Source organism: Homo sapiens, chromosome 1, assembly GCF_000001405.40.
Source record: "Homo sapiens chromosome 1, GRCh38.p14 Primary Assembly".
Classification (NCBI taxonomy): Eukaryota; Metazoa; Chordata; class Mammalia; order Primates; family Hominidae; genus Homo; species Homo sapiens.
The window spans coordinates 220,483,165-220,494,506 of NC_000001.11; the positions used below are offsets into that span (position 1 = coordinate 220,483,165).

An 11,342-nucleotide genomic window follows, 5' to 3' on the forward strand; every position below is an offset into this window, starting at 1 on the left:
TAGGTGCTTAAGAATTATTTTATTGAATAAATAAATTTATAAAAGTACATATGCCACTTTTAGGGGGAAATTAAATTATTTCAGCTATTAGCCTTTGGAGTTACAAGATTCTAGATTAGATTCCCAGCTCAGTTTACCAATTGTGTGACTTGGGTCAAATTCTTGGGGTCTTGGGAATGGGATTTCCTCATTTGAAAACTGGAGATGACATCTAATTTACAAGGTAGGTATGAGGAATGCCAGTGAAGACCTAGCCCATAGGAGGGCTCTGAAGTGTTAGCTTTTGCCCATCTGTGGATCTCAAAGCGCTTCTCAAATCTTAGTTATATGGACTAGGCAGGTAAAGTATTATTCTCATTTTGCCCATGGGGGAAAATGAGAGAGGAAAGACAGACACAATTGGCCAAAGACTTTTTGGAAATCTAGCTATTTAGCTCCAGTTAACAGTTGGCTTTCCTCCTTCTCTAGGCTGGCTAGTGATGACTTGGAATTTAGCATACTCTTTAGGGGTTTGAGGGAGGTGATTATGTAGAGCTTCTTTAACTGTTCCTTGTGTCTTTGTTGTAACTTTCAGTGGTGAGGAGGGAACCATGGGTTACCAGCCCGGGACTTGAGATTCTACCCATCTGGTAGTGGGTGGGACCGTGGGGATTGAAAGAAATGATATGAGAGCAAATGACGACATGCTCGTTGACTTTAAAATGTTATTAATAGCCCGCTGCCTTGGTCACAGCAATTTCCATTGCAACTTTCCTCTGGAATTCCTTGGATTGGGAAATAGCAGCTTCAAAGTCTCCTTGCTTAAAGAAAACTGAGACTGACCTTTCGCTGACAGTGTGTTTAGGGGTTTGGAGTGGAGACTAAGCCAGTGACTCTGGATAAACATCTCCATATTGTGGTGTGAGCTTGTGTTGCCTTCCCTCTCCATGCTGGAGGGGATTCTGGGCGTAGAGGAGGCTGGAAAGGGAGGATTTGCCCATATGTTTGCAAGGCAGACTTACAGGCCCCAGAGCAAAGCCCCAACCCCAGCAAAAGAGAAACACATATGTGTTGCATATTAAACTCCTACTAGGATGGGGGTGGTGTGGGAGAGAGGAATGCAGAGGGACAGATAACAGAAACTTTGAATTGATATTTCCTAGGGAAGCTGGGTTTGTCTGTCTCCAGCATCATCCTTGCACTGGCAGCATGACTGCAGAGAAAGAGCAAACTGATGAGTCTTGGCAGAACATTTCCCATTACTCAGTTTTTGCAAAATATGGCTCTAGACACTTGTATGTGGTGGGAAACTCTCTCAGATATCACTTAGATGCCATTAATGCTCCATTACTACATCTGTTTAAAAGGCTCCTGTTTTTAATTGTGACACATTTCAAACAAGATGCTTTAAGAACATATTGAATAAAAATGTTCCTAGTTATGAAGGACTGGGGCAGTGAGGGTGACTTGATTCTTCCATCCTGTCATTACTCAGGTGGAATTGGCTACAGCTGACATTTCAAGAACAGAGTGGTGTACTAGTGGAAGAAACCAGGACCAGACAGGGTCCAGGGTGGGGAGATGTCAGTCGACCACATGGATTTGGGGAGGCCCACGCAGAGGATCCAGAAGAAAAGAGAAAGGCGCACTAGTGTGAGATATAGACAGGCGTCCATATCAGCAGGGGTCTAATTGACAAATTAGGAGAGTCAGCCAAAGCCTTGACCATGAGGTTCTAGGCATTCATTCCTCCACAGCAGAATCCCAGCCAACAAAGTGGGCTTTGAGCCCTGCCCAAAGCCCAGGGGTAGGCAGAGCTGGACTGTGGGCTCTGTGAGGCAGGGCCTGCTCTTATGTCTATGTCTGTATCTGGGTGCCAAGAGTAGTGCCTGATATGAACATGCATGCACCTAATGGTTAGTGGATGAACAAATGGAAGAAAACAAAGCAAAAGCCAAGCGAAGCTTTCCAGACTGAGTTAATCCTGAGCAGGGCAGGCAGGTCAGGGGTGGGTAGGTGTGCAGGCACTTAGGATAATGATAGCCCATATATCTGAGGCAGCAGACTCGAATAGGTCCATATCCCACCAGTGAGCAGGCTGAGGTTGAAGGACTATATGCTGTCCATGTCACAACTGACTCACGAACTGCAGAAGGCAAAGCTTTCCACTGCAGAAAGGCATTCATGACCTCATCCCAAAGGACTGGCAGAGGTTGACCTCTATAGGTGAGCTTTGGAGGTATCTCTCTGGAGGGTGTTTCGTTCCCTTATTTGACATCCTTCTTGGGGCTACAACTCTATCAATAAATACACAAACACTCAGGTCAAACACACAGCATTGTAGATTTAGAGAATTTGAAAGCTGGAAGGGGCTTTAAAGACCATTTAATCCAACCTCATTGTCATACAGACGAGGAAATTGGGACCAAAAGATAAATGACTTGTTGAACAGGGTCTAAGTGTTTTCTCTTTTATTCTATTTGTTTTTTCAGCTTTACATGGTTTTTGTTTCATGTCTTGCCCCTAATAGACTGTGAGTTCCTCCAAGGAAACTATTTTTGTAATATCATGATCTCAAATACACATGGCATAATTTTATGGACAAGGAGTCTAAAATACAGCTGTTGGCTGACTGATGGAATGAGTGAGCGCATACATAAAAGAGGACATTTTTTAAAGGGCAAGTGAGTCGTTTTGAAAGTCTGAAACCCCGCGTAATGAACAAGCTACTGAGAGCCCAGAGAGGTGCTCCTCCTCTCAGGCATGTTCAATCTTCAGGATTCAGAAATTGTTCTGAGTAGAAGTTGTATTTCAGGTAACACTGCCTCTGCTGCATGGCCTGGTAATGGAAACTTAATGGAGATGGCCCTGGGGGGTTATTATTTCTCAAGACAAGAGGATTCAAGCCGGGACAGGAAGGGCCTTTCCATCTTAATTTACAGGGCCATGCAGCAGAATAATCATGGGTCATTCTTTTAAAATGGGGCTTCCATGTTTCGAAAGGAAAATGGGAAAATGTAGCATGGTGGCCTAACTAGCTAATTGTGTTAAGCACAGTGGCTGGAAACCAAGAGTGTACATCATCGTCACCTGCAGAGTGCCTTAAAAGCACATGCCCAAGCCCTAAACATATTTTGGGGATGGGGACTAAGCATATTAATTTTAAAAAACTTCTAAGGGGATTTTGATGTGTACACTGCTAAACTAACCAACTGCATTAGAAGAAGAAACCAAATAATCAGAGAGTAATCCTTTGGCATCTGTCTCCGGCAAAGTGATATTTCACCTGTAAGTTTCAATTTTGAATGGTTTCCACCCACTGTCACTCCTCACTCCTCACCAGCATCCAAATAGTCTTCCTCCACTTATTAAAACTGTTCTCCCAAAGGATCTGTTAAACGTATTCATACCACACTGTAGATAACTGACAAGGCTTAATACTTTCATTTTAGGGTTAATTGCATTTTTTTCTTTGAAATAATATTAATATGACTGAAAATGCAGAGGTGACATCCATTGACTAGAGCAGGGTTTCTCAACCTCAGCCGGGCTGGTTAATTCTTTGTTGCAAGGGCTGTCCTGCTTTCTACCTACTAGATGCTAGTACCACCTTCCCAAGCTGTCTCCAGACACTTCCAAATATCTCCTGGAGGTCAAAATTGTCCCAACTAGAGAATCAGTTCAAAATTAATATGCTTGTAGAGTTAATTGAATTTTAACTATGGTCAAAAGACAGTGGTGACTCTAATTATGGAATTTTAAGTCTGAATTAGTTCATGGTCAAACTGTTTGGAGAATTAGAGAAACTTTCCTGGTGTCCCCAAATCTAGGCATATAGAACACTCACCTAGAAGTAAAAGTGGCTGTGAGGAAGTAAACATAACCCTGGTCAGAAGGGGCTCAGGGAAGCTGGAGGGCAGGCGAGGCAGATTCTAGAAGTCCAGTCACTGAAGGGCTGCTCACTTTCTGGGGCTATCACAATACCCCAGAGTCCCAGGACACTGGGCAAAAGATAGCCTTGGCCCTACTACTCAGCCTTTCTGTAGAAACAGCCACAGTTCAGAAATAGTGTTGCTGTTTGCTATGAAAAAATAAAACCATAAAATAATAACTCTATGAAGGGTACAGTACCATCAGGCCAAAGAGGCCTCTGCCAGGAGACATTTCTGAAGTCTGAAGGTGTGCGTAGGGGTAGCATAAATGCCATGGTTAATTTTTAACTTCCCCATTGGTGAGTCCTGAATCAGAGGACAGTGTTTCTATGGTGTCAGGCGATATTCCTGTTCACGCTGAGGTGTCACCTGACAGGCACCAGGTGAGTAATGTACAGGGTGGTGGCACCATTGTAAGCCTCTGCCACATCTCTGAGGGCCCAGCTTTAATTACACCAGGATCCAGTGTTTGACATTTGTACTGGGTGACACTGTTCCTTCCTGCTACCTTTCCATTGTTCCACCCTCTCTTAGTTGCAGCATTCTGGCAACTGTGGTTTCACATTACTAACTCATTGCCATGGTTTCCATTTGATGTGCGATGACGTCACAGCTGATGAGGAATGGAGCTTCCTTTTCACTCTGATTACAGCCTGCTACACTTCTCTTTTCACACTCACTATAATACAGTGAATGCTCACAGTAATCAGCTCTCTTTCATATGGGTTCTGCCTTTCACTGAACATGATTTCCAGTTGATCATAGAACAGGCACTGAACAGAAATAAAAACTGGAGTGTGCAGGATCAGTGGTTGGCATCCAGGGGCAGGTTTGGTTCATTATCACGGGGACAACCTCAGGTATAGGCATTGAGGACAAATGGGGGGAAATTACAAATTCTATATTTTTTAATGTTTTTGATGTTTTGTTGTTAAACAAATACCAGATTTTAAAAACAAAGGGAAGTAAAAATACATCAAAAACTACTTATCATCGCACCACATAGAGATAACCACTGTCAGCATCTTCACTCATTTCCTACACTTTATTCCATACATATGTGTAGCAGAGATGGGGAATTCCTTAATGAAGATTGGGTATGTGGACATCTCCTTACACTCAGCCAGACATATATTTGTGTTTTGTTATCCATGTGCACAGAGACTTTGGCATTCTGGGTGAAGGAAGAAAGAAGAGAATATACATGGAAACCCAGGGGTAAGAGAAAAGGACAACAGAGAATGTGGCATGGGGAATGCTCTGCTGGGTCACATTGAATGGTTCTGAACCACTGTGGAAAAAAAGGAGTTAGAAAGAATCAGATGCCGAAGGAGCCAATTTTCACAATACTCCGAGACTCAGGGCAAAAGCAGCCTTGTTCTAGTAGCCTATGGGTAAAAGAAGACACAGAACTGAGGGGAGGACTTTTCCCCTGAGTCCACCACAAACCGCCATGGAGCTGAGGCAGCCTGAAGTCTCAGGGGCATGGGAGGGATTTGCCTTTTGGATTTCTCCAATGGGATGTCTTACAGGCACTTCATATTTAGCAGATCCAAAACTTAACTCAGATACTCCTCTTGCCATATCTGTTCCTCTTGCTGTGTTCCTGACCATGATTATCACCATCACCTACCAGCTGTATAAGCCACACACCTGGGAGTCCTCCTAGCCTTTTTCCTCCTCCTCTCATCCTCCATATCCCATTGACCGTCAGGGCCTACTGAGTCTACACTCCAATTTTCTTTTAAATCTATCCCCACTGCCACTGTCCTAGTCTAAGGCAATACCATCTGGTCACCCAGATCATTCCATAGCTTCCTAGTAAGTAGACCAGCCTTCAGTCTGAGCCCTCCTCGGTCCTTCCTCCCCAGTGCTGCTGGAGTAATCCTTCTAACACAACAATGAAAGCAGGTCACTGCGGCTCAAATGATGTCAGCGGCTTTATCATCCATGTTGCCTGGCTTTTCACAGGCATGTCTTGCAGTGCAGCCTTATAACTCTCTCAACACAACTCTGTATCCTCCTCATTCTTCATGCTTTTATAATGTCAAGCCATGTGACACTCCCTAAATATACCATGTTTTCTCTTTTTCCTCCTCCCCCTCTCTCATTTGCAGCTTCCCATACTTATCTTCCTAAACACTACTCTTTTTGAAATGTTTATTTCAAGGGTTTCTTATCTTTTAAACCATCTCAGACTCCCCTGGGGATTACCCCTTTTCCTATGTTTTTATTGTAGCATCCTCACAAATTCACTTTAGTTCCTTCGCATTCTGGTGTCGCTATATATTAGTGGGACTATGTCCCCATTAACCTGTTAGATCTCTTGAGAAAAGGGACATGTCTTTTCATCTTGAGTTCCCCAATACTTAGTATTGTGCTTAGCATATGCTAGGTGCTCAGTAAATATTTGATATGTGTGTGAACGAATGAATCAATCAATCAATAACAAATGACAGACAAACTCCAACCCCCAAACCTAAAAAAAAAAAATCCAAACTTTCCCCTTGCTCTTAGTGTAGATACTGCTCATCAACATAAGGCAAATTCTTCCTGCGCGTCTCAATACAGAGGAGGCGAGAACTCACAGAATCACAGAATTAGAGCACTGGCTTTGGCATGAGAACACCCTGAGTTAAAATCTGGCTTCTGCTATTTATTAGCCACATGACAGTGAATCTCCTTGAGCTTCTGTTTTGTACAAACTTAAGTTTGGCTTTGTGATCTTATTCCTCTTTGGTGCATCTGTACAACCCAACTGCTTATTCATATGACACTGCTAAAACATGCCTTGCCTTCTCCCCCACTTTTTTTTTTGGAGACAGAATCTCCCTTTGTCACCCAGGCTGGAATTCAGTGGCGTGATCTCGGCTCACTGCAACCTCCACCTCTCCAGTTCAAGCGATTCTCATGCCTCAGCCTCCCGAGTAGCTGGGATGACAGGTGTGCACCACCATGCCTGGCCAATTTTTTGTACTTTTATTAGAGACAAGGTTTTGCCATGTTGCCCAGGCTGGTGTTGAACTCCTGAGCTCAGGCAATCCACCCACCTTGGCCTCCCAAAGTGCTGGGATTACAGGCGTGAGCCGCCACATGAGGCCTATTACTACATACTTAATAGGGTTGTTACGAGGATGGAATGATGTATTTTAGGTGAAGTATTTAGCATAATACCTCGCACATAGGAATTACCCAATAAATGACAATTGTTGTCATTTCTTTTGTTTTTAGGTTTTATTTCACTATTGTGTCATCCACTCACTGGAAACTTCTTAGTGTCAAACACCCTTTTAAGAGTCTGTACACATATATACAAATTTTACAAACAATTGCAAGAGTTTTACACAACTCCCAAAGCAATTTCATGGAATCCATGTTGATAATCTTCACACTAGGAAGTAGAAGAGGAAAGGAAGACATATCATTCAAACTGTATTTTGCTTTTTGGAAAAAAAATCTGAAATATAATTATAAATTGTAAATCACTAGGTGAAAGATCACAGATGCATCTGAATTTCTTAATACCTCTGGCAAAATGCCATCAAACCAAAATACCTATTTAAGAAAGTTGAGAGGTTTGAAAAATTTAGCCCAATGACTTACTTATCCTAACTTTCTGGTGGATCCAATTTGCCCAACAGTTGTACCCTGGCCAGTGGTTCTAGTGACAAATTTTGGGATAGATAATGTCCATGGGAATTCTTTAACCATAGAGTGACCTGTGCTGGCACTATTGAAAGACATAGCATAGGAAGATTTTTAATATACGTATACCCCGAAACCTCCTAGAAAATCCTAGAGACTTTCTTTCTTACACAAAGAAGAAGTTACACATTGTAAAGTAAGTGTGTTTCTGAGAGTTAACACATTTGTTAGAAAAACTCAAAAAAAAAAAAACACTGGGCATTATCCCCAGTCTTCTCCTGTTAGCTGGGATTAGTGTAGGACTAGTGGCTGGAAATGCCTCTTAGACACTGACAACATGGCAATCACAGCCTTATCAGTGCTTGTATTTCTAATAGAATTTACCAGGCAGCACCAGTTTGTTTTATATCAATACAGGGATGCAGAGTTTTTCTTTTTCAATAAATTAATATTTTAAAATAAATGCACAAGGGGTTCTCATGATTTGATAACTATGGTGTTGAAATATGTAAAAAGTGAAGAGTTCAATTAGGAATTGTCCACTAATTTGAATATTTTATTTATAAGTTTGAATTTTAGCATTTAAGATGTTTAAATAACAAAGTATAGCTATACAAGGTCCAGCTTGTAACAGAGCTTGAGGTCGGTCATCTGTAATGCACTTTTTCTTTCTAGTTTGGGAAAATACCTCACTTGTTTGACCCTCATCAGGACTGGAATTAATATTTTAACCAAGCAGAAAATTGCTCATCTCAGATTGGCAGCCGTGCCTGCCAGTATATAGTATTTTCTAGGTGGCCATGATAGATAAGAAGAGAGCGTCACAGTTGGGACAAAGAAACATCTGTTGCATGACCTGAAAGTAACAAATTAAATGTTTAACTCTCCTGTCATCCTTGGCCACAGTGGTGGAGTCTGCTGATTGTTCCCCATTATCTTCCTTTAATAGGACCCCTTCTGTCAAGTTTTGACAGGGCCCATGGATGACCAGCAAGAGCCTCCTTTTAGTTATAGGTGGTCATGTGCCCAAGTTCTCACCAGTGAGATGCAAGTAGAAGTGACCTGCAAAACTTCCCTGTTGCATTACATCCTTAAAATAAATTTGATTAAGTTCTTATTTTCCTCTTTTTCATTCCCGGGGATTAGAATGAAAATGAGATGGTAAATCAGTTTGCTTCATGGGGATTTAAACAGCATTCTGAGGAAGGGATAAGCCACAGGATAAAAGGAACTACAGCTACCCCTCCACACTGCACTGTTTGCAGATCTCTGGCCTGTTATTAAAGAGAGACAACGAAACTTCTATCCCATTTAAGCCACTGCTTTTGGACTTCTATATCCAAGCAGCTTAGCTTGTATCCTCAATGAGCCACAGTCTCCATTATGATGATACACAGTGGTGTGGATAGCCTCTCAGATGGTCCCCAATGATCCTGCCTCGTGGTATATGTACCTTTGTATAATCCCATTCTCTTGAATGTGGGTTTGTCTGGTGACTCTCTTCTACCAACAGATTGTGGCAAAGATGGATGATGGGATGTCACTTCACTGATTAAGTGCCAAAAGGTTGCAATCTCCTCTTGCTAACAGACTCTCTGCCTTGCTGGCTTTGATGATGCAATTTGCCATGTTGGAGCTGCCTATGTGGCATGAAACTGAAGCAGGCCTCCAGCCAACAGCCAGCAAGAAACTGAGACCCTCAGTCCAACAGTCCACAGGGATCTCAATCTTGCCAACCACCATGTGAGCCTGGAAATAGATCCTTGCCCAGTTGAACCTTAAGATCACTACATCGCAGCTGACACCTTGACTGCAAGTCTGTAAGAGACCCTGAAGTGCAGGAACTTGCTAAGCCTGCCCAGACTCTTGACCCACGGAAACTGTGAGACAATACATGTGGGTTGTTTTAAGTTTGGGGGTAAGTTGTTATGCAGCCAAAGGTAACTAATGCCACAGAGACATCATTTTATTTTCATACAGTGATATGTAACAGAAGTAGTGTGTTGAAGTCAGAAAGTGAATTTTAAAATATCAGAGAAGGGGATGAGCTTGACACTAACTTAGGACTGCATACTGCAAAGGACCTCAGTTCTTTGCTGTGGACACTGAATCCCAGGGTGTGATCCTCTGCTTTGGAGATCCTTAGACTTGATTTATTAGCAAGCCCAGGGTTGTTCAGGCTCAGGGGAGCTTAACCAGCTAAACAAACTCCGAAGAGAGCTATATCTAAATCAGAATGCCAATTTGTTAATTTACTTTTATAAATAAAACTGCCAAGTGGATCAGATAAGTTATATCTTTGTATGTTAGTTCTTCAAGGCTGAGTAAAGTGCCACCTTATTTGTTTTTCTAGTCTCTCTCTCTCTCTCTCTCACACACACACACACACACACACACACACACACACTCTCTCTCTCTCTCTTTCTCTCTCTCTTCCTTATTCAGAACAGACTTCTACGCACTCAAATATTGTATCTCCTGATATATTGATGCCATTGAGTAGGCCACAGCTTGCTTTTCCAAGCAGCCATGCTCTATATCTGGTTAAACACACTTGGGGTAGACACCTGGAAGCCCAAGTGAGCATGGATCTTCCTGTCTAGCCCCCTTCCTTGGAACTGGGTCCTTCTCAGCTGCAAGATGACTTTTCATCCACATTCTTTTGGAGTTCTAGGACAAGGCTCCAGCTGGACTCTGGTCATTAATGCCAACCATCTGCAGTAACTCCATGCCTGTGCCTACACTGGCTTTCTATTTGCTCCTACCTCCTGCTTACAATGACTCCTTTACCCATTGTAACAGACTCTTCTGGTGCCCCATCTCACATTATCTCTGCCTAGCTTTTACTCCAGCCACCGTACTGACAACCAGCTCCAGGCAGGTGTAAACCTGACAGCATGTTGCTTCAGCTGCACCTTGTTATCATCTGATTTTTCTGGGGCTTCTCAGAGGCCTTAGGGTAGAACACCTGTGGAAAGCTGCCTGGCACTCACACTGCTGCAGCCTCACAAGAAAGAGTTCAAGCCCCACTAAGACAATCCTTGACTTCCCCCTTAAGTGGAAGAAGAAGGTGGACAAATTCTGAGGTTCATTTTACATGGCATTTCAGAAGTTTCTGAGGGCAGGATAGAACCCTATTCAATCACAGTAGAGATCACTCAAGAGCATACCTTTTCATTAACTTTTTTGCCTTCCTTGTTTCAATCTCCCCATTTCCCCACTCCTACTCACTAGGATCTTTTCCTCAAATCAACTAACTGCATGCAAGCCATCGCCTCAGGCTCTGCTTTCTGAAAGAACCCTGGTGAAGCTTACCCCTCTCTAATGCTGTCATTCACTGATGGCCCTGCCACTGCTCCATTGAGGTCTCTGGCCTCTGGCTCTTCTCCTCCACGGCTACTCCTGTTGCCATTGTCCTACACAGCAAGGATGACCCCATCTGCCACCCAAGCATTACAGACTGCTTTGATCTTCTCTAATTAAATGGCCTCCACCCCACTTCAGCATCCCCACTGGAAATAAACATTACCCTGAACAGGTCTATTTCTGAAATCTTTAACATCAATATCTTAGCTTTGTACATCAATATTCACCTATGGGTCCTATTTCCTCATTCTTATTCCCACTTTCTAGTATTTGAATTTCACTGAGACCTCTGGTGCTTTGACCACTCTATTTTCACTCCCTTGGAACTTCTTTATTCTCTTGCCTACCCACCTAGATTTTTTTTTCTTTCTTGAGACAGGGTCTCGCTCTGTTACCCAGACTGGAGTGCAGTGGCGCGAT

The 11,342-nt window shown here is 42.8% G+C and overlaps 2 long non-coding RNA genes across 3 annotated transcripts; one reads left to right on the forward strand and one right to left on the reverse strand.

Moving 5' to 3' along the window:
* On the reverse strand, positions 1 to 4,394 carry LINC02779 (long intergenic non-protein coding RNA 2779). Its single transcript, NR_185879.1, has 3 exons — positions 4,111 to 4,394; positions 3,827 to 4,019; positions 1 to 2,276 (listed from the first exon to the last, which is right to left on the reverse strand). It is a non-coding gene; the product is annotated as a long intergenic non-protein coding RNA 2779 (long non-coding RNA).
* Positions 4,395 to 4,573: 179 nt separating this feature from the next.
* Positions 4,574 to 11,342, forward strand: LOC105372928 (uncharacterized). Of its 2 annotated transcripts, XR_922615.1 has the most exons (4): positions 4,574 to 4,771; positions 5,073 to 5,129; positions 9,070 to 9,474; positions 11,302 to 11,342. It is a non-coding gene; the product is annotated as an uncharacterized LOC105372928 (long non-coding RNA). The 2 variants fall into 2 exon arrangements; XR_001737822.1 differs by having other exon boundaries at positions 4,574 to 5,129.